The sequence below is a fragment of the Homo sapiens genome, chromosome 7, assembly GCF_000001405.40.
Source record: "Homo sapiens chromosome 7, GRCh38.p14 Primary Assembly".
Classification (NCBI taxonomy): domain Eukaryota; kingdom Metazoa; phylum Chordata; class Mammalia; order Primates; family Hominidae; genus Homo; species Homo sapiens.
The window spans coordinates 115,194,524-115,219,264 of record NC_000007.14 but is presented as its reverse complement, the minus strand read 5'-3'; the positions used below and the strand labels follow the sequence as shown (position 1 = coordinate 115,219,264).

At 35.5% G+C, this 24,741-nt stretch overlaps 1 long non-coding RNA gene across 1 annotated transcript in view, besides 1 other annotated feature; it reads left to right on the top strand.

Moving 5' to 3' along the window:
- LINC01392 (long intergenic non-protein coding RNA 1392) overlaps positions 1-24,741 on the top strand; it is a 107,757-nt gene that overhangs the window by 12,091 nt on the left and 70,925 nt on the right. The gene's annotated exons all lie outside the window — the stretch shown is intronic.
- Positions 2,150-2,706: an enhancer, noted in NCBI's record as "NANOG hESC enhancer chr7:114856613-114857169 (GRCh37/hg19 assembly coordinates)". NCBI's record gives its function as "activates a minimal SCP1, AML or CMV promoter by ChIP-STARR-seq in naive H9 embryonic stem cells {active_cell/tissue: H9 hESC(naive)}" and the evidence as "EXISTENCE:reporter gene assay evidence [ECO:0000049][PMID:30033119]".

The following is a 24,741-nucleotide window of genomic DNA, read 5'->3' as shown; positions in this document are numbered from 1 at the left end:
TTAGAGGAATCACCAGGCAATGGAAGAAATGATGCTGGATAAGTAATGATAATAAGTTAATCTTAATTGAGCACTTCCTAAGTTTTCAAGCACTCTGTGTGCATTATTTCTGATGCTCACAGTGGCCCTAAATAATATACTAACCCAGTTTTACAGATGAATGAAGTGAAGCTCAGAAGAGTAATAGGTTTGATAATAAGCATGGGTAGAACTGGAATTCCAGCCCATTGGTCTCCATTACTGCACTGATTCTGTTGTCCAGCCCACTAATGTGTCATGAGCATGCAGATGTATGTATTTCACCTTGTAACAGAGAGAGAGAAAGAGAAAGAGATCTCAATGGAGAGCAAGGTCCCAGAATAATCTCAGTATGCTGGTAACAATTATAAAAAAGAACAAAATTGTCCTATGCTTCAGATAGGCGAATTAACTTTAGATTCTAGATTTGATACAAATGATTGTTTAGTGCTTATAATATTCTAGCTACTTTCCTAGGATCCTTTCTTTCTATCAGTGACAAAAAGTCACACATAGTCCTTACTTCAAATAACTTCAAGTCTTCTACAATAGATTCCTAGATAAATAATGAGGGAGACCTGTATTCTAATTTTATTCTGCTACCCACTTTGAATCAGCCAAAGGTTGACTTAAATATTGTTGTGCCTACTTTTTTCATAAATGCATAAGGAATTGTAACCTGTATTGTAAAGATGAATGATTATTTCATTTTTTTACAAAGAAAAAAATGACAGAAACTGAAGGATATGCTTCAAAAGTACTATAACAAGCTTATCAAGCTAGAAGTCTTTTTTTTTTCAAGAATCCTAATCATTCTAACTACAGAAAAAATTCTAGATTATAGCATTTAAAATCTTCAATAAATTGATAATAATCAGCACAGAGTAGCTTCTCTGTGTTATGCTAAGGATGATCTGACTCAACCAGACAACAACAAATTCTGCTTAAATTAGAATCTGCAAAGACATAGAACAGGTTTTGCTTGTTTCCAGAACTTTAGCTTGAGTATAAGTTTTGGAGATATATGTCTGTGTCTATGAGTCTGAGTTATTCACTCATTCAACAAGATTTAAGGTGCCATACACTTCCAGATATCATCGACTGCTAGTAAATGCTAATTAACAAGCAAGTAAACTGGAAAAATATCAAATGGAATACCTTAATGAGTGATATTACAGAGAAAAAAATGGAATATTTGCTTAGTAATTTAAGTAAATGGATATTATTTTCTAATATAAATTGGTAGTATATTCACTTAATATTTTTAAGGAAAAAAAACAGAAAAATACTTAGCATTTTACTACCACATTCAGAAAAATTGCAAGATTAGCTTGAAACTTTTAAAATCTCTAACCATTGAGTAATTTGAGTTTGACATATTTAATCACTGGACTATATATTAGAATGTATACTTCACGTATTGTTTTAAGTAACCTGGGCTAAGATGAGCTTCTCTAGACTTTTTAGGTCTTCAAACACATTCTAGTCACCAATATTAAATCTTCATACTAAAATATCAAAAATAAATGCGATATTTTTTAAATCTCCAAAAAGGCTGTCTTGGATCTAGGTCAGGCAGTGAATACCCTGATACATGTGAATATACAGTAGTAATCCCTTTCTCTGATTATAGCTAGACTCACTCTTTTTTACTTTTGGGTCACAGTTATATCTTACATAATCCAGCAGAGGGTGCTTCCTTTTTAGGGTTGGATTAGAATTAAATATGATAGGCAAAAAGTTAAAATCTTTTCATATTTCATTTCCAGTGATTGATTAAATCAAATCCCCTTGTAGTTTAATATATTTTCAGAAGTTTCCTAAGGATAGTTATCTTCATGCAGCATCACATGTTTTAACCAGCAATTACATAACAACAGTGTATGTGCACCTTTAACATGTTTACTGTCCTATTTTCCTTCTCGATTAGAAGTTATGATCCCTACTCAAAAGTTCCAGGTATATTCAACATAGGGACACTTTTGTTTAATAGTACTCCTTCCACTCTGGGAATATATAAGAAGTGTTGCTGCCATTTACAAAAACTATGTGTGTAAGTTGTGTGTCTGCACGTGTGTTTAGGAAGAAAAAAAAGGAGCTTTCTTTGAGAGAATTCTCCAAAACAAAAGCATAGTTTCAGAGCATTCACAACATCATTGGCCATGCTAAGAGTAGATGAAAATGTGTAACCTCTTCTCAAGAGCTAAATGGCCAGGTTTCAAGGAATAGTTCATTTTCTTAAGTGTGTGGCCCTGAATTTCCCTGCTGCATAAGAGTAGTTCCCGAAATTGTCATCTCAGGAGGATCCTAGTATTTTTTTTTTAATTCTTTTGCAGCAAGTCACCTAGTTCTGAAGTAGCTGGCCTTGCACAGAAGGTTCTGCTAAGGAATGTGAGGTACTCAAAATGGCTTTGAATCACACTTCTCAGAAGAGACAACCACAGGCATTACAAAGGAGAAAGCTGGAGTAGTCTCAGCTATCAAGTTAGCTTCAAGAGATTTTTCCCTCCCACCACTTTATGTATGATAGTGCAGTCAAATTTAATAAATGGAGATTATATTTCCCTGAGTATCTTGCAAGCAGACTCAAAAGCAGATTTTGCTTTTGAATCCCCTTCCATCTCAAATTATTACTGTTAAAAGTTGTACACCCGTATGGAAGACAGGCATTTCTGGAAATACAAAATAGTAGGAAATCTGTATCTTTGAGTGCTGAGCTAGCCCACACTAGAAGCAAAATACAAAGCTAAGAAAATGAGCTGGTTTTGGTGAGCAAATGTTTTATATCTGCACACAAGAAAACTGAGGACAGCTCTAACTTTAAATCCCATTAGAAAATGCTGTGATTAACTGCAGGACCCCACTGATTTTTCAGGTAATAGATGAACATGCCACAGTGAAATATTTCCCCTTCTTTATTTACAAACAAAAGAGGATTTTTATGTGGACAGAAATCAAAACATTACTGAAGCACTGGTTGCCTAAGCTTAAATTCTTTCACATTAACACAGATGCTTTATTATGTAACGTCAACATCTTCCATATTTTTGAATGGTTTTGAATGGTATAATCTGTAATATTTTGTGATTTCCCTTAAAATGGGTTGGTTTCTTCAGAAAGAATTCTGGACCTACAACATAATGAAGTAATTAACTAGAGAACAAAAGGTTTTTCTTTTGTTTCAGAAAAAACTTGCTTCTAAGACACAAGTTACACATGCATTATTTTTAGGACCATCAGCCTTGCCCTGGATGATGATTTTGTTGTCAGAAATGTTTTTATTATTTTCTGCAATACCAAAAAGACCCGACAAAACATTAATAGGATGATTGAGATAAAATGTGCTATATGTTGTTATGTTGCTTTTATAAATATTTTGGATTTGCCAATGTGATAGACTTTGATAAATCATAATATTTCTACAACTTAAAATCATTAACATCTATTTTGACTGATATCTATGTTAGGTAAGAACTACAAATTATATTGTAGACAAATGACTTAGAAAATCATATGCAAACAATTCAAAATATACTTAATTAAAATGCATTTTAAAAGTCCTTAACTGAAATAAAAATAAAAGTGCATTTTTTAAGAGTGTTGCCCCCACAATCCTTGGCTCACAGAATTTTATATATATATATATATATATATATATATATATATATATATATATATATATATACTATATATACACACACATACACACACACACACAAATATGCGTTTATATATATACAAATATGCATATATATATACACACACACAAACACATATATATATATGTGTTTTACACATACACATATATGTATTTTAGATGGAGTCTAGCTCTGTCGCCCAGGCTGGAGAGCAGTGGCACGATCTCAGCTCACCGCAGCCTCTGTCTCCTGGGTTCAAGCGATTCTCCTGCCTCAGCCTCCCGAGTAGCTGGAATTACAGGTGCTGGCCACCACAGCCAGCTAATTATTGAATTTTTAGTAGAGACGGGATTTCACTTGGCCAGGCTGGTCTTGAACTCCTGACCTCGTGATCCACTCACCTCAGCCTCCCAAAGTGCTGGCATTACAAGCATGAGCCACTGCACCCGGCCATAGAATTATATTAAACTTCACTATCACATTTTTCACTTCACAGCACATGCTATTCCCAAGTGTGAAACCCTTTATTATATAAGATGTGCTGCAAGAAGTGAGAGGAGTAAAAAAGGTAAAGAACCCAAGGAAAAGTTCCAAAAATGGCAAACTGTCAGCCTGCAAGAAGAGTTTGCCTCATTGACATATTTAATTAGCTTTTTCATGTTGACTAACATACTGCAATTTGGGAATTGGTTGTTGTGATGATATATGGCCCCCAAATATGTCTATATCCTAATTGCCAACACCTGCAAATGTTGCCTTATATGGCAATAGGGATTTTGCAGATATGATTAAGGATTTTGAGATGGGAAGATCATCCTGGATTATCACGGTGGGTCTGATGTAATCAGAACAGTCTTTATGAGAGATGAGATGCTGGAGGAGTCAGAGTCAGACAGAAAGAGATGTGAAAACAGAGGCAGAGGGATGGAGAAAACTTTGAAGAAGTTACCCTGCTGGCTTTGAATATACAAGAAGGGAGCCATGATCCAAAGGATGTAGGTAGCCTTTGGAATATGGCAAGGACAAGCAAATGGGTTCTTCCCTGGATCCTCTGGAAGGAGTAATCCTGCATACCCATTTTAGACTTCTGACCTCTAGAACTGTTAAGAGAATACATTTGTGTTGTTATCAGTTGTTAAATGTGTGGATTTTTTTTATAGCAGCAATAGCAAACTAATACAGTTGCCTATAATTTATCAAACTTAGAAGATTTCACATACAGATTCAGAATTATTTGTTTTTCCTTCTGTTGAGAACTGCAAAATCTAGTGAGGGCTGAGTGTCACCAACTCCTCCTGTCAATGACTGGTTAAAGCCATTCTCTTCAGAGGTTATGTCTTCTCTAGTCTACCAAGGCTATCAGACTCTGTTTTTAATCTGAAACCTCTGGTGGACATTTGAATTTGTGATTCCTGCTATGTATGGTCTTATATTTTGCATTTTACTTAACAGTCATCTCATATGTAGCTTTTTAAAGAATTATATCTAATTATCCACTTTTTACAAATGGCATTCTATTAAACTATTTTTATTAGGCTATTCTCACATTGCTATAAAGAAATACCTGAGACTGGGTAATTTATAAAGAAAACAGGTTTAATTGGCTCACACTTCTGCAGGCTGTACAGCAAGCATGGTGTTGGCCTCTTCTTGGCTCCTGGGGAGGCCTCAGGAAACTTACAATCATGGTAGAAGGCAAAAGGGGGAGCAGACACATTACATGACCAGAGCAAGAGTGAGAGAGGGAGCCAGGAGGTGCCATGCACTTTTCAACAATGAGATCTCATGAGAACAGCACCAAGGGGATGATGCTAAACCATTCAAGAGAGATATAACCTCGTGATCCAACTACCTGCCTCCAACATTGGGGATTACAATTCAACATGAGATTTGGGCCACCACACATATCCAAACTATGTCACTATTGATCCTGAGATTAAGTAAATGAGAATATCATTTACTTAATCATTTTCCACCATCCACCTCTGTTTGTCTTTAAACTTTTTGAAGATTTTCTACTCTTGGTGAGCCATAATTACATTATTTGTAGCATAAGTACCGTATTGAATAAGCGGGATTCAGGAGTATCTGGATGCAATCAGTGTGTTCTTTTTCACCGCTAGCTATCTCATCTGCTATTCTTTTGTGAAATCTCAGGCACACTGGGCACTCCTACATACTAACGTAATTTCATATCCTAGATATTAAAAAGCCCAATGCAGGTTAATATTAAGATTTCCCATTGCCCCTCAACTTTGGTTGGCTTTAAGCTGCAGTGAGGAAAAGCAGTATATGTGAGAAACAGGGTCAACTGTCCCTCCAGAGGCACTGAGTGAAGTCATTTCTTTCTTTTTCCAGCTTCTAGAGCTGCATGCATTGCATTCATCAGCTCATGGTCCCTTCCTGAACCCCCTTCTAAGCCAGCAGCTTAGCACAGCTTCAATCCTAACACTGACGTCTTCTTTAGCCGTATCTCTCTCTGCTTCCCTCTTGTAGGGACACTGTGATAACATTATTTGGCCCACCTGGATAATCTCGGCTACTTTCATCTTAAGATCCTTAACTTGATCACATCTGCAAAATCCTTGCCATATAAAGTGGCATTCATAGGTACCAGGAATTAGGACATGGACATCCTTCAGGGCCACAATTCAGCAAACTGCATTCAGCCTACAGAATTGAAGCCACAACAACAAAAAAGATTTTAGGCTAATTGGAATTCTAACTACCAAATTTTATGGTCCTCATCCTACGACTATTCTCTGTTGCATGTAAGATGGTTAACCACTTATTCCTTCTTTAAACATTTTCTTTCACTGGATTTCGGATGCTTCTTTCCCATGGCTGTCTTTCTTTTCTCCCTCTTCTGATAGATTCCATTCTTTCACCCGACTTTTGACTCTGCATTTATCCCCACCCCATTCTCCCACTGTGCATTTATCTATACCCATGTCTCCCAATGTCATAATTCCTAATGAATCCCAAATCTATATTTCAAGCTCCAGTCTCTTTTGCACCTGTATTTGCAACCACATTGTGGGCATTGTCCTCTGAAACTGAATGTTTCCAAAAACACACCCATTATCTTGTCTGGTAAACTTGTCAGTCTTCTCATATTTTTTTGTTTTCCTTCATTTTATTCCCTTTGGCACTATCATTGTTTAGGGAGTTAATTTTCTTTTACACCGGAGCTGCTGTAGCAGCCCTTAATTGGTAGCCCCATCCCAGTCTTTTCTCACTCAAATCCATTTTTCACATCATGGCTAGATTAACATTTCTTTTTTTGGAGTGCAGTGGCACTATCTTGGCTCACTGAAACCTCCACCTCCCGAGTTCAACCAGTTATCCTGCCTCAGCCTCCCGTGTAGCTGGGATCACAGGTGTGCGCCACCACCCCCACTAATTTATGTATTTTTAGTAGAGATAGGGTTTCGCCATGTTGGCCAGGCTGGTTTTGAACTCCTAACTTCAAGAGATCCATCTGCCTCAGCCTTCCAAAGTGCTAGGATGACAGGCGTGAGCTAGATTAACATAACATCTGACCTAGATTAACATTTCTACAACTTGAAAGTAGTCATATAATTCCATATGCAAAAGAACAAAAAACAAAAACAAAAACAAAAAACTTAGAGGCTGGGCACGGTGGTGGCTCATGCCTGTAATCCCAGTACTTTGGGAGGCCAAGGCAAGCGGATCACCTGAGGTCAGGAGCTCAAGACCAGCCTGACCAACATAGAGAAACCCCATCTCTACTAAAAATACAAAATTAGCCAGGCATGGTGGCCTGCGCCTGTAATCCCAGCTACTCCCGAGGCTGAGGCAGGAGAATTGCTTGAACCCGGGAGGTGGAGGTTGCAGTGAGCCAAGATGGCTCCTATAATCAACATTAGTTGATTATAGTGCATGGCTCCTATAATCAACATTGAGAATATGCATCTATGTAACAAATACCTGAGTTTGACTGTTGTTTAAGTTTTCTGTGTCTAAATAGCTTTATTTATAAAATGGGGCAGTGTATAACAGTCCATACCTGCATTAATTCTTATGAAACATTTAGAGTACTGCCTGCCATGCAATAAGGAGTACAAAGTGTTAAATAAAAATAAAGTGAAACTCTTCTCAAAAAAAAAAAAAAAAAAAAACCTTAGATAACCCCCTCCACCACCAGGATAAATTTAGAACTTTGACCCTCACATTGAATGTCATTTTTAATCTGGCCCTGCTCTAACTCTTCATGTACTTTTATTATCACTTCTTTTCAACTCCCAGCCACACTAGATGAATCTATTTCCAGGAAACATCTTGCACTTTTAGACTGGCTGGTATTTGCTCTTTTTTTTTCTACGTTTTCCTAAATAACATTCTACTTAGATGAAATTCTCCTTATTTTTAAGGCACAACTTCAGTGTTCCTCCTTCCTCTGAAATCCTTTTTCTACTTCCCATAGCACTTTTTACATATATTCATAATAATGAACACTGCTGTTTTTATATATCTGTATCTACCAAACAGTACGTTGTAATAAGCTAAGTTTCTTTAGAGCATAGTGTTTCATTCCTCTTAGTATCCCTAGTAGCAAGCATGGCTCCTATAATCAACATTGAGAATATGCATCTATGTAACAAATACCTGAGTTTGACTGTTGTTTAAGTTTTCTTTGTCTAAATAGCTTTATTTATAAAATGGGGCGGTGTATAATAGTCCATACCTGCATTAATTCTTATGAAACATTTAGAGTACTGCCTGCCATGTAATAAGGAGTACAAAGTGTTAAATAAAAATAAATAAAAGCCGGATGCAGTCGTGGGTATCTATAGTACCAGCTATTTGGGGAAGCTGAGACAGGAGGATCACTTCAGGCCAGGAATTTGAGGCTGCAGTGAGCTATAATCAACCCTGTAAATAGTCACTGCACTCCAGCCTAGGCAACGTAATGAGAACTTGTGTCTAAAAAAATAAAAATTAAAAACAAAAATAAAATGGTTAATCTTTATAAACAAGTGTTTGCTGAATTACATTAGATAATTATTATATATAAAACAAAAATTTTAAAAAATTCATAAGAAACTTACTTAGCATTAAAAAAGGAAATAATTTACGTATGCATGAAAAGGGTGAAATTATTCGGAAAGAGTAAACTTGTACAAGATGTTTTTGTCATGAGATAAGAAGAATAGAAATATGAGGGCATTTCTCATCTTGTTCCCCTGATGCTGATTCTTAGCACAGTTACCTCCAAAAAAAAAAAAAAAAAAAAAAAATACACCTCTTCAGTTGAATTAAGTCCATGGGACCACAAAGCAAAATGAGAAATTATCCTTTTAATTAGCTTCAGTGAGGTTCAATTAAATTATTTTCTGAGAATTAATAATAGTGGAAGAATTTTCTAGGTCTCCTTTTTCAAAGAAACATTTAAGTCTCTTTAAAAATCAAAACCATTACCATGAAAATTTCTTGACCAGAATGAAGAATTCTCTAGATATCTGCAATTAAAAAAATAGAATTAAGAAGTCTAATATTGGCATGATGTTTCTAAATTACTAAGATCATCATATAATTTGCCCAGCAGTCATTCTTTGAGCAAGCTCCTTTTGGAGTCAGAATGTAAGCAGGAAATTGAATCTGCAAAAGGAAGATCAATGAAGCATTCTGTCTTCAAATACTTACAGATGAATGAATAAGTGTTCAAGGATAAGGAATTGTCAAATTTGTGGAGATGAAAGGTAGGAAAGGAGGCACTAGAATAAGAATCAAGAATGGGTTCTTGCCTGGACTTACTCTATACTCAATATGTGACCCAAGGCAAGCTATCTAAACCTTTTCGGATCTCAGATTTCTCATTTCTGAGGTTGGAATAGATAATTTATATGATCTCTTTTAGCTCTAATTAACTTTGCTTCTATGTACAATAAAGAATATATGCATCTATAGTATTTAGGTGATATTCTGACTAGTTTTTAAAATAACTATAACTGAGATGTTATTTTCAAACTTGTTAATGAATCTCTTTTCTCCTTCCAAGTAAATACTTGGCCTTTTTGGTCTAAAGCGTCCATTTGCTTAGCGGGATATTAGGATTTGTATGAAAATAGTTAATCTTTCACTTTTGATGTTTTAAATGAGATTTTTCAGCAAGGCAACATATCAGCAAGCCCTGCTATTATCTTAAGAGAGGATTTACTAAATCCTATCAGCTACCATTTATCATGATAAGGGCTCAGCCTATAGCTTTTATCACATAGAGCTCTCACATAATGTAGAAAGCATACCCCTCCAGGCCGTGACATATGGCTCTAGGGCTTATCGCTTTATGATATAAGGGAGACATAATGTGGAGGTTTGAGGGAAATCCCAGACCTTTAGGCACCAGGAAATAGGAAGTCCATGATCTGGTCATCTGTTCTTTCTTGGATTCATCAGGAATTGGTTGCCCTTATTGCTGACTCAGTTTACCTCTGCTATCACGTGACTATAAATTCCTAAATGGGACTGATCCTTTGCCCAGGCTGCCCAGGCAGCCTGTCCCATGGTGCTTGGCTAGAGGATCACGTTTACACCTATTTCCTGCCACCTCTGCTGACAATCTCTACTGGCCTGCCATATTCAGCTTTCCCTCAGGGTACACAGATGATTCTAGATCATTTCCATACCACAGGGAAGTCAAACAGGGGGAGGAAATAGTTATTCAATGTGCCACTTCTTCCTATCTGATGCTTCCACCTGCAGGGCAGACCCTTGCTGACTCACAATAGGAAGTGAAGCAAAACACACTTTGCTCTCAACTCTCACCTCAACCTTTGCAGCCTTCATCTCTCTTAAGATTTCATGCTGGAAAAGGGAGGTCAGAACACAAGTATCTCACCACTTGCTTCTTTTTTTCTTCTTCCCTCAATCTTTAAAGTATGATTGTCCCTTGCCTCTACTTTAAAAGACATTTTTTTTTCCTCTTCTCTCCAGTGAGGGATTTACCTTAGTAATATCTTCTTTCTCCCGGACTCTATTCTAATGGATTAACTTTAATAGTGGGCAGGGTGTAGAAAAAAAAACTGTCTTGCTAATAAGGAAGCATGGAGTTATTTTTAAAATATTACATACATTATACAAACTAGTGACTATGACTTCAATTCTCCATAAAATTCTGGTATATGTTATAAAATGGATGCTTTTTACATACTTAAAAAAATTTGGGAAATAAAACAAGCACAGTGTATTTTTATTTGTGACATAATATAATTATAATATCTCCTAACATACTGTAACTTTTACTTTTTTAAAAAGGCAGAGAATGTGGACTGTGTGTTGTCACAGTCAAACTCAGTTTTTTAAATTGTCATATCCAAAAAATACTAATTAACTATTTTGTAAATTTGGAAATAACTTGGTATGTCACAGGTCACTTTTCCTGCACATTCATCATCTCTATGTATAATACAGAAACACTATTATTAATAGTAAGATACAACATTTATTCAGTCCTTACTAAGGACCAGACACAAAGTAACAGAATCCACACATCTTTTATTTCATTAAATAACTAGCTAGCTCTTGATGTTAGAAAAATTCAAAAACTAATTTGAAAGATTAGAAAAGCAAGCAGAAACTATTAAGATGAGAATGGTCCAAGTGCAGTAGTGTTTACAACTAAATTGATCACAAGCAGTTACAGATTTCCTTGTTCCTTCTCCGCTTCCACTGTTGCATTTGACTAGACTTAATTTTTTTTTTAAATTATGCATTAGTCTGTGATGAATTCAGTCAGTCATTAAGATAACAGCTCAGTATGGTAATAAATAATAATTATTATAATTTCAAAAAGAATCAAGTATACCTTTCCCCCTGATATGGTTTGACTGTGTCCCAACCTAAATCTCATTTTGAATTGTTCTCATAATCTCCACATGTCGTGGGAGGGACCAGGTGGAGATAACTGAATCATGTAGGCAGTCCCCATCCTGTTCTCATGATAGTGAGTTCTCATGAGATCTGATGGTTTTATAAGGGGCTTTTCCCTGTTTTGATTAGCATTTCTCCTTGCTGCCATCATGTGAAGAAAGACATGTTTGGTCCCCATACTGCCATGATTGAAAGTTTCCTGAGGCCTCTCCAGCCCTGCAGAAGTGTGAGTCAATTAAACCTCTTTCCTTTATAAATTACTCAGTCTTGGATATGTCCTTATAGCAGTGTGAGAACAGATTAATACAGTAAATTGGTACAGGGTACGGCAGCACTGCTGTAAAGATACCCAAAAATGTGAAAGTGACTTTGGAACTAGGTAACAGGGAGAGGCTGGAATAGCTTGGAGGGCTCAGAAGAAGATAAGGAAAATGTTGGAAAGTTTAGAACTTCCTAGAGACTTGTTGAATGGCTATGACCAAAATGCTGATAGGGATATGGACAATAAAGTCCAGGCTCAGGTGGTATCAGATGGGGATGAGGAACTTATTGGAAACTGGATTAAAGGTCACTCTTGCTATGCAAAGAGACTGGCAGCATTTTTCCCCTGCCCTAGAGATTCGTGGAACTTTGAACTTGAGAGAGATAATTTAGGGTATCTGGCAGAAGAAATTTTTAAGTGACGAAATGTTCAAGAAGCAGCAGAACAGGAAAGTTTGAAAAATTTGCAGCCTGACAATGCAATAGAAAAGAAAACCCCATTTTCTAGGAAGAAATTCAAGCCTACTGCAGAAATTTGCATAAGTAATTAGTAGCCAAATGTTAATCACCAAGACAATGGGGAAAATGCCTCCAGGGCTGGGTCAAGGGTCCCCCTGCTCTAGGCAACTCAGGACATGGTGCCCTGAGTCTCAGGTGCTTCAGTTTTAGCCATGGTTAAAAAGGGTCAACTTACAGCTCAGGCCATTTCTTCAGAGGGTGCAAACCCCAAGCCTTGGCGCCTCCCACTTGGTGTTGAGCCTGCAGGTGCACAGAAGTCAAGGATTGAGGTTTGGGAGCCTCTGCCTAGATTTCAGAGGATGTACGGAAATGCCTGGATGTCCAGGCAGAAGTCTGCTGCAGCAGTGGAGCCCTCATGGAGAACCTCTGCTAGGACAGTGGGGTAGGGGAATGTGGGGTCAGAGCCTGCACACAGAGTCCTCACTGGGGCACTGCCTAGTGGAGCTGTGAGAAGAGGGCCACTATCCTCCAGACCCCAGAAGGTAGATCCACAGACAGCTTGCACTGTGTGCCTGGAAAAGCTTCTGACACTCAACACCAGCTGTGAAAGCCCTAGGGCTGGGGCTTGCACCCTGCAAAGCCACAGAGGTAGAGCTTTCCAAGGCTTTTGGGGCTCACCTCTTGCATCAATGTGACCTAGATGTGCGACATGCCATCAAAGGAGATCATTTTCAAACTTTAAGGTTTAATGACTTCCCTATTGGATTTCAGACTTCTATGGGGCCTGTAGCCCCTTTGTTTTGGACAATTTCTCCCATTTAGAATAGGTGTATTTACCCAATTCCTGTACCCACTTTGTATCTAGGAAGTAACTAATTTGCTTTTGATTAACAGGCACATAGGTGGAAACGACTTGCCCTATCTCAAATGAGACTTTGGATTTGGACTTTTGAGCTAATGCTGGTGTGAGTTAAGACTTTGGGGAACTGTTGGGAAGCCATGAATGTGTTTTGAATTGTGATGACATGAGATTTGGGAGGGGCCAGGGGCAGAATGATATGATTTGGCTGTGTCCACACCCAAATCTCCTCTTGATTTTTAGTTCCAATAATACCAATATATAATGGGAAGGGCCAGGTGGAGATAATTAAATCATGAAAGCAGTTCCCCCATCCTGTTTTCATGATAGTGAGTTCTCACATGATCTGATTGTTTTATAAGGGGCTTCTCCCTTCTCTGGACACTCATTCTCTCCTTGCTGTCACCATGTGAAGAAGAATGTTTGCTTCCCCTTCCACCATGATTGTAAGTTTTCTGAGGCCTCCACATCCATGCTGAACTGTGAGTTAATTAAACCTCCTTCCTTTATAAATTACCCAGTCTCTGGTATGTCTTTATTACCAGCATGAGAACAGATTAATACACACACCCCCAAAAAAATGTTTATAATTTTGTAGGGAAACTAAAATTCATAAAAACAACTGCAATTAATTACAAAAAGTGTATAATGCTTTTAAAAAGAAGGATACTCTTCCAACTCCTCACTGCACATTTTCTATCTGCCTATTCTTATTGGATCTACTGAAAGAGAGGAGGGAGCTGCTAATCTCACAGGTCTAAGCACCTGTTGATGTCCTGGAGAGCAAGCACTTTCTTTCTGGTCCATAAGCACTCTCTCATTGGCTTATTCTTATTTTCAGTATCTCTCTTTCCAGGCACAATTGATTATTCTGGTCTCAATATATAGATTTACGTTAGTGGTGGGGGGAAATAGGAGCAATAACTCTGGAATTTCTACAAGATATTGAGGAGGAGCATCTGTCTAAATTCCCTTCTTCCTTTGAAGAATCTGAGGATATAGACCTAGAAGAGCACCCAGGAAGTGCCGGCTATAAAAGGCTTGGAAGAGCACACTAATCCCTTGATAACAGATTTCTATTCATTGTACTGAAATTGTACACATAAAATTTGTATAACTGGCATGAAATGACAGGGATTCATGCTATGTAAAATTTGGAAGATTTTCTTTCTTTCTTGTCTTATTTTTTTCTCTGTCTACAATTCCTTCTCAGAGAAATCACTAAGTAACAATAACTTTTGGCTCTAAATGTGGGTGTTGAGCTGGCATTGTGATATTCTAAGGTGCCCTATTAAGCCTTTGGATCACTGGGTCACAATGGAGCATTTAGATTGGATTACCTGGAATTTAATGGTAAGAGGAAGCTACATTTATTTCAGTAATCCATTGTCTACATAAAAATGAATAGAAAAAAGGCATTGTAAAGGGATAATGTTGGCTCTTGGTTTTTCAGTGGGTGGAGGAACAAAGAATGTGATAGGAGAAAGTAATATATTAAAAGACTAAGAAACAATAAGGTAAACAGGAGTAACCAGTAGGATGGAAAAGTAGAGTAGAACTTAATTTGAAAAAACAGTATTTAAAAATGAATATAAATTAAGATTAAAAGAGTAAAATAAAATATTGGTTGTTATGTTAAATGTAAACAAGATAAAATCTGATTTTTGACAGCAGATGCTATCAAATTAGATGGTATAAAAAAGTTGTGCCAGGAGCAGTGGCTCACGCCTGTAATCCCAGCATTTTGGGAGGCTAAGGTGGGCAGATCACCTGAGGTCAGGAGTTTGAGATCAGCCTAACCAACATGGAGAAACCCCATCTCTCCTAAAAGTACAAAATTAGCCGGGTGTGGTGGTGCATGCCTGTAATTCCAGCTACTCAGGAGGCTGAGGCAGCAGAATCACTTGAACCTGGGAGGCGAAGTTTGCGGTGATCAGAGATAGCGCCATTGCACTCCAGCCTAGGCAACAAGAGCGAAACTCCATCCAAAAAAACAAAGTTTTATATCTTACCAGGCAAATTTACAGATAGTAGGACTAGCTATGAAATATCAGAAGACACAAAGAAAATATGAGTAGTGATATTACTAATAAAAAAGATAGAATTTAAGATTAAGGTACAGATAGAAACAAAGAGAATTATGTGAAAGTGAAAGCACCAAAATAAATAAAGAAGGTAAATAGTTAAAGCAAGCATTATTAAAAATTTATGAACAACATTTTTTAAAATAAAGTTACAGATGAATTACTTTCAATAAAAGAATGAAATACATATAAATAGAAATATACATTTTTAAATATCCATGGAATCACTTCAAAAATTATGCAATTGACTACAAAAAAAACCCTTAAATCTTATAATGTAGAACATTTATATTCTCTGATCAAAATTAATAATACTTAACAGCATTATCTTTAATCAAAATGAACTACATTTAAAAACAAATATTGTAAAATTACTAGCATATCTTATTAGAAAATAAAAAACTTTATCCTAAAAATATGCTTAGTCCAAAGAGAGTATTAAAATTAAATTTTTTAATTTAGAAAAAAAATAAAACATTTTCTACCAAAAGTTAATTTTAGCACATTGCTAAAACTATCCAAAGAGAAAAACAGATTTTAAAATATCTTCTTATTAAAAAGAAAGATGAAAGATAAATGGGATTACACCTTATCTCAAGAAATTATAAAAAGAACAAAAACTAAAAGACACTAAAATAACAATAATATCTGAAAAATAAATAAACAATAAAAATAATAGGATAAATGTTCTAAAAGTTGATATTTTTAAGGATCAGAAAATCAGTTAAAACTAGTAATCCTCTTAAAGACAAAAAGGAAAATTTTGAAAATAATTTTCAGATGTTTATTTCTTTTAATCCACATGAATCTTTGTAATTGCTTTGACCAGTAGTACGTGGTGGGGGTGACTCTAAGTGGCTTCTGAAGTTGGTCACAGAAGGTAAAACAGCTTCTGTCTGGCATTCTCACTCTTTCTTCCTCTCTCTCTTCCTCTCTCTCTCTTTTTCTCCTCTTTTCTCCACATAACTAGGGATCTAGTTTGCCTTGTAAAAATTTTGGCTATCCTGAAGACAACGTATTTTTTTCAGCAAATATTTAGTTAAACCTTCCTTAATATTCTGGGTAAACAGTATGCCCTTTTTTGAGTATGAGAGATAATAAACAAAATAAATAAATAAAAGAATCTAATATGTCAGATGGTGACAAGTGCTATGGAGAAAAACAAATAGGAAAGACGTTAGAGAGAACGAGAGAGGAGCTGGAGTTTCAAATAGGGTGGTTATGGAAGGCTTCTCTGTGAAATCAATTTTAGCCACGACTTGAAGGAGATCAGGGACAAACCATGAGGTTACCTGGGTTAAAGTTCTCCAGCTAAAGAGGGAATCACATGGCGTATTTGAGGAAACACAACCAGGCTGGTGTGGCCATGGCAGGAAGAATGAAAGGAATAATAGTAGGAGACAGGGTCAGAAAGTTAATGGAGATCCATTGGATGGCTTTGAGATGAGGAGTAACATTAGCTGACTTCAGTGTTAATAGGAACTGAGAAGGTAGAGTATTGAGAGGATCATCTACAGGCATAACAAAATCATCATGAATTAAGCAATTGATAATATTAGAGAAAATGTAAAGAGCCATGAGCTAGAATTCAAAAAATAAGAAAGGGTGTGTAGTTAACTGCAAAAAGAGTATAATTAATGTAACCCTCTGAACCTGAGATTCAGAAAATAATCAATGGCATAGATAAATAAATGAGCAGTATAACTCTACAAGTAAAGTGGAAACTTTGGAGGAAATTGATGAAATAAGTATCACAGAAGAGATCAAAATAATGGTTTTAAAATTGATTATTTAAAAAGACATCAAGACTACATGGTTCACAGTTCCATCTAACTTGTAAAATACAGATAATGCCAATGTTTTGAGGCAATTCAAGTAGAATAGAAATAGAAAGAAGTTAATTAAATTTGATAAAGATTATTTAGCAAAAGCAATAGCAAGTATCAATCTATCTGATAATAGAAAACCATTTATTTTAAAAGAAGGAACAAGAACAAGATGCTTGCTATCTATTATTATCCAACATCTCTTCAGAGATTTTTCTGTCTAGAATAGAGAAGAAAAACTAATCAGTGTCATTTTGGAAAATTAGCTCTTTTGCTAATAATATTACTGAATATCTAAGAAAACCCAAAAGATTCTATTAAAAACTACTTGAATATATGAGGAAATGTGGTAAGTGGCTAGATTAAGACAAATATTCAAATATCAATAACTTTCCTTTATACTAGCAAAAAGAAGATAGAAATAAAAAGGAAAATATTCCATTTGCAATAGAAACAACAATTATAAAGTATTCAAGAACAAATTTAACATGAAGTGTGTAGAATCCATAAAAATGAAACTATAAAATTCTGTGAAAGTCTATAAAATAAGGACAGAATAAACGAGAAGGTATACCATGTTGTGGGAGACGGTAATTTTAAATAATAGTTGCAACAATATATATCCCATCTCTCAGTGTGACATTGGCACTCCTTTCCAGCCCAGGCATGTGAGCGAGAAGCCTTTGAGTGGCTCTAGCCCCAGCCATCATCTGAGTGCAACTCCCTGAGAGACACCCAAGCCAAGGCCTTCTAACCAAGACACTCCCAAATTTCTGAACCACAGAAATTGAAAGGATAATAACTACTTATTGTATTTTAAGCCACAACATTTTAGGATGGCTTATTATGCAACAAAAAGTAACTAATACATGTGTTTTTGGATTGAAAGATTTACTGTTATGCCAAATACATATTGTCCCTCAAATTAATGACTTAAATGTAATTTGCATAAACACCTAATAGCGTTGTACTTTGTGTTGTACTGAGATAATATAATATCAAAATTTCTGGGAATATCAAGTTTAGAATAACCCAAAATATTTAAAAATAAAATTAATCAAAATAGAAATAGATTAATTGAAATGTTAGAACTGAAAAACAGATTCAAATGTATACAGAATTTAATATATGACAAAGGTGATAATTCTATTGAGTGGAGAATAATGATTAACTTTAAAATGTTCCTGGTGTAGCAGACATCCATTTTGCAGAAAATAATGTTAAGCTCATTCTCATTCTAGATAAGGTAAAACCTTAAATGTAAACATAAATAAAACCTCAAAAATATGTAATAAATATGTAAATATAATATGTAAAAAATAATAAATATATTTGCTATATAAAAATTAAAATAATAAAAGACAAGGTGATCATAAAGTAAAAAATGAGACTTATTTGCAATATATTAGATAATATCTGTAGTATACCAAAAACACCTCAAAATTGATAAAGTAATTATAAATATAGTTAAATGATATGAATAAGCAATTAAAAGAAAAGCAAATACAAATGACCAATGGACAGTAAAAAAATTCAATCAATATATAGGAAAACACAAATTAATTGTTTATTAAATTTTAGGTGCTAGGAATTCAACATCAAGCAAAAAAGAACAGTTATTGCTCTTATGAAGCTTATATTTTAGTTGACGGTAGAAGAGATTATATACAAGGAAAATATATAACCTAGGCCGGGCACAGTGGCTCATGTCTATAATCCTAGCACTTTGGGAGGCTGAGGCTGGTGGATCACGAGGTCAGGAGTTTGAGACCAGCCTGACCAACATGGTGAAACCCCATCTCCAATAAAAATACTAAAATTATTTGGGTGTGGTGGTGCGCACCTGTAATCCCTGCTACTCAGGAGGCTGAGGCAGGGCAATCACTTGAACCTGGGAGGCAGAGGTTGCAGTGAGCCAAGATCATGCTACTGCACTCCAGCCTGGGTGACAGAGTGAGACTCCGTCTCAGAAAAAAAAAGAAAAGAAAAGAAAAAGAAAGAAAGAAAGAAAGAAAGAAAGAAAGAAAGAAAGAAAGAAAGAAAGAAAGAAAGAAAGAAAGAAAAGAAAAGAAATAACCTGATGATAAGTGGTACAAAATTTAAAAAATGTAAAATCTGGATAAGGAATGATGATGAGGGAGGTTGGCTATTATAGATATATTAGTCTAGAATTACCTTAGTAAAGTGAATTTTTACCAGAATCCTCAATGAAGTAATAAAGCAGGCCAGCACATAACTGGAAGCTATTACATTACACTTATTAGATTGGCCAATGTGAAAAAGTAAGTGGGAATATTTAATGCTGTGAGTATTCAAGTAAATATGTCCTGTTACACATTACCAGTGAAAATGTGAACTGTTACAACTCATATGAAAGCCTAGCAATATCTATTATAATTTCACATCCTTCAACTCAATAGTCTTTACTCTAGGAAATCTATCCCAGAGAAATAGCAGGATCAGTACATTAAAGACCTATGTACAAAAATGTTTAACAAAATATTAGAGTAGCATATTGCTTATTGTTTACAGTTCACACCATTCTAAATAAAGTAAAGACATATGCAAAAATAAAGCCTCGAAAATTCTGGAAGAATGTACATATATGTTTGCATGGACCGTTTTTGTTAAAACAGAATGCTCAGAATATATTTAGAAAGACATATTAACTACATAAAAAATTAAAATTATATAAGGCAAAGTTTTCATAAAGAAAGTAAAAAATGTGAATAGTTGAATAAATTGTGGTGTATCTCTACCATAGAAGAGCCTGCACCGATTGCAAAAAATCAGTTAGGTCTATACTTGTTCATATTGACAGATTTCTTCAGTGTATTCATGAATGAGGAAAAGTAAGAATCAAAGAGGTGTATACAAATATGATTCTGTTTAAATGATACAAAAAAGAAATCTACAACCATGCCCTGGGAAGAACCCTTGTTTAGTATTAACATTTTTTTCCTCATGTTGAAGTATCTTAAATTTTAATTCCTGGGGAGGTAGAGTGATATTCATAATACATTTGGGAAGAATATACTGGATATGTTTCATTCATCTGAACCATTTTGTTTATTTGGGGTTTGAGGACCTTTGGGGAAAAGTTCTGCTCTGCAACTCCTGGAGCAGCTATAGCCCCTGGGGGAGGTCTGTGCTAATCCACCACAGCCCTTTTCTCTTGGAGTGGGCCCCTGCTCACAGGCACTCTTGCTCTTCTCTGCTCCTGTGTTCTACATCTTTCAGGGCAGGCCTTTGCCTCCCCTACAGATACACAGGATAATGAACCTGCTCCAGCTGAGCAGTTCCTGCTACTGGGAGGTTAAGTCAACCTGAATCTGAAGTTAAATTTGCAGACCCACTGGCTTTCACATGTTCCAACTTAGCCTTGTGTAAATTGTACTATATTGTTGGCCTCTGTTTGCTACTTTTATTTCTCAATTTGTTCAGAACCTAGACAGTGAAAGAAGATTGCTCAACTCTCATCAAAGGGCCATATACAAATACTTATAGATGATAATATGACCACAGATAATGGATGAAGAGTGCATAAAGTTCAAAGAAAAGATAAGAGAGTAAAGAAATTAAGAGGGGAGTAAGATAAAAACTTTAAAATGCTATACTTTAAAAAATATAAATGGGAATCAGGAATAGAAGAGAATGTATGATGTGTAACCATTTTTTGTAAAATGGTAATGACTGTGTATATATGAAAGATATTCTCGAAAATTATAATCACTAAAACATTAATAGTAGCATCTGAGTGTGATAGGATTTCAAGCAATCTTTACTTTCTCCCATATACTTCTGAATACTGTTTGATTTTTTTTACAATATACATATTTTTTTGCATGTCTGTGGAATGAGTCAAAAGCCTTCCCTGTAAGACTCAGATTACAAACAAGTAGAAGAAGAGAACTAGTACCTATTGTGGATATAGATGTGTGTGCGCGTGTGTGTGTGTGTGTGTGTCCTCTTCCCAGACTTAAATTCACACAGAAGTGTTTGTATGTATTTCTCAAATTTTTATTATATACAATTTAACATTTCAGTGTGAATTTAATTTAAAGCTGAGAAGGGAATTATATTATTCAAACATGATTTATTCTTCGTTATATCATTTAAATTCATTGAATAACGACTTCAGTTAAGCTAGGTCAGACAAAATGGTTAGATATACCCTAGGTAGAAATGTGGAGAGAGGGTGAATGGTGTTTGTGATATACATTATAGCTTTAGCGTGAACACCTTGTATTTTGTGCACACACATTTCAAACATATTGGAGCAACAATAAAGAGGCAGATTCCATTGGCAAGGGGATAAGTGTTGCAATGCCAATAATGGTGGGTTTCGGGGAGAGTAGGAGATTGGGTAGCCTCAAAAAAGTCAAAACAGAACAGCAGGACTCCTTGCTGATGTGGTTTGGCTGTGTCTCCACACAAATCTCATCTTGAATTGTAGCTCCCATAATTCCCATGTGTTGTGAGAGGGACCCAGTAGGAGATAATTGAATCATGAGGGCAGTTTTTCCCAAACTGTTCTTGTGGTAGTGAATAATTCTCATGAGATCTGATGGTTTTATAAGGAATTTCCCCTTTTGCTTGGCTCTCATTCTCTCTTGTCTGTTGCCTTGATTGTAAGGCCTCCCCAGCCACGTGGAACTTTGAATCCATTAAACCTCTTTTTCTTTGTAAATTACCCAGTCTTGTATATGTCTTTATCAGCAGCATGAGAACAGACTAATACACTTGTGAAGTTTTGGAATCCTGCCTCAAGGGGCACAACACAGTCTAATGTGTTAAATGAGAACACTAGCCCAAGATAGGGAGAAGGGACTCTTCTGCTCACTTTCTACAAACTATTTCCTCTTACTTGATGCCTATTGACATTTCAAGGGAAGGAAATTTGCCAGTCTGATCTAAGAGAGTCCAGGATATTTATCAAGCCTGAGTTTACAACGGCTACTATTCCCCCAAAAGTCAACTCAACCCAGAACTCTTCCCTTTTCCTGCTGAGTTGACCCAGGCGGGGCCATTATCTGTGAGGTGGGCTCAGCCAGGTAGCTCCTTCCTTACCTCCTCCAAGCAATCAACAGGATAGGTAAGTCAGACCAGATTCCACATCGCAGATGCCATCATGACTCTCCTTTCTCAATGAGTTAGGCAAATCTGAGAGTGGAGGTCCTATTTTTAATTTGCAGCAATGAAAAAGAGAACATATAGCCTAGATTAGGTCTATAGCCTAGGCTGCACAGGACTGTGCAACTACTAATAATGTATAACAATGATTCCCATTTTTCTATTGCATGTAGTTTCCTCAGGAAGTCTGTGAAGAAGAAGTGATTGGAAGGACAAAATTTGACCATTCCTGGGTCCCAAGTTATAGTACTATCAAAATACTTTCAAAATATTACTCTTAAAACCTAAAAGTACAGAAGAACTATTGAAGTGAGAGAATAAATGTAATCTCTCTCACCGAATTTTAAACATCAGTTTCAAAATATCTGAATAATAAAACAGTAAAATCAGAATAGAAGCCTCCTTACTTAACAACAGTTTGTGTATTAAAAAACCTAGAGACTTTGAATGAACAAGATATAAGTGGGCCAAATGCTTGCCAATTTAATCCATGTTCTATGGGATGGATAGAAACATAGTGCCCTGGAAAAAGACGTAAAGTTCTCACTATTCTCTTTAAAAACTTCAAACATTTATGTTTCATTTTTTACATTAAAATTTAAGCATATTGTTGAAAATGAAAATGCATGCAAAAGGGCTTAGTTAGAATGGGACATCTTAGAAATCAATTCATCAGTATATGACTGAAGAATAAGGGGTATTTCTCCCAGAGGAAAAATGGTTTGGGAACCTCAGGGTAAAGATTTGCACGGCTACAATTTAAAAATAATTTACTTAGGTTGCAATGAGCTGAGATCGCGCCACTGCACTCCAGCCTGAGCGACAGAGCGAGACTCTGTCTCAAAAAAACAAAAAAAATTACTTAATGTAACTCCCAAAGATCAATGGGTAGCTATATAATCAAACAATATTTTCTTAGTATAAAAGAACTTTCTAATAACTGGAGATTCTAAAAAGTAGAATGAGCTACTGCTAAGTTAGTATTTCCCTGCATCTCTCTTGCATAGTGACTCTTAGGGAAATAAAGGTGTGTATATAAATAGACACACACACATATATGTGCGTGTGTGTATATATGTGTATAAATATATACACATGCACATATATAAACTACATATATAAACTACATAAGCTTACTATATTTTTTCTGATAAAAGATGTGTAGAACCTAATTTATAATACTAAAATAAAATAGATAAAATTCTTTTCTTGATACATTCCATATAGCCAATTGATTTTCACAGGATGCCGTTTTAAATTTTTGCCAGATGTATCCAGAGCCAACCCATGATTGAATGGGTACAGTTCCAACTTGAATGTTAGTTGATAATTTCATTTATATTAATAAAAGTGAAATAATGAACACATTCATTAAGATGTGTTCATTGATTCAGAACTTTACTCATGTATCAATGATGTTAATGACTATGTCACTGAATCGTATAATAGTTTTTGAATACTAAAATAATATTTTCTCAAATTTTTGGTGCTAGTTACAATGTAATAGCTAAATACGCACCTCATATATTTAGACTGTGTTATTAACATTATCTCCATCACTTTCTTAAGTCCAGGCAATCCACAAAACAATTAACCAATCCCTGATTTGTTGTGTTTACCAATTTCCAAGATTTGAGTACTCCTACCAAGGCCAATTTCAAGTTACAACATAATACCGTTGAAAATAGAGCAAAAAGAATTGTGCAATAGTACATTATAAAGTATTTTCACCATACAGATATAAGAAATTTAAGTAACATCAAGAGCATAGATAACAGTAAAATGTAATAACATAATTAGGATGTAATGACTTATAAGTATCTATTACCTTTATTTTTAATTTAATTATGAGTTTATAAAATTTATTTTTTAATAACAATGTTTTTTTCACTTCTAATATAATGTTATAGGAAAAAGAGTTTTTAACAACTGGCTTAAAAAATTCCTGAAAATTTAACAATCAGCTCTGTGGACCAGAACAAGCTGACTCCAGCACACCAATGGGATTGTGGTACTTTTTGTACACGAAACTTAACCACATACAGACCAAAACACAGACTTCAATGGAAAACACAGTGGAAGAAAAATTTAAGAGAAGCAACGTACCTATTTCTCAGTTTAGGAAAATCAGTTATAATTTATTCCCCTCTATATCTGAAAATATCTATTTTGTCCACTAGCCTTATTAATTTTTATTCTTTGGCTTTATATTTCCCATATTACACACACACACACACACACACACAATGGCATTAAAGAATTACAGGAGTAAGGTGTAGAAAAAGGATTCCAAGTAGACACTTGCAGATCTTAAATATTGTTTAAAAAAGAACAAAGGAAGAAGAATCATCAATATTTATAATGAATTTCCTAAATAGAGCAACAGTACCAAAAAGGAGACTATCTTAACTACTAATTTGAAATGTATAATAGGCAACTTAAGAAACAGCACATTCCTTAGTTCAGTATACCCACATACACTGTTTCATTTTTTCCAAACAACATAATAAAAGATGGAAAAAACACCCAGTTCACAACTGGAAGTCTATTACATTTTCAAATTTGATAGT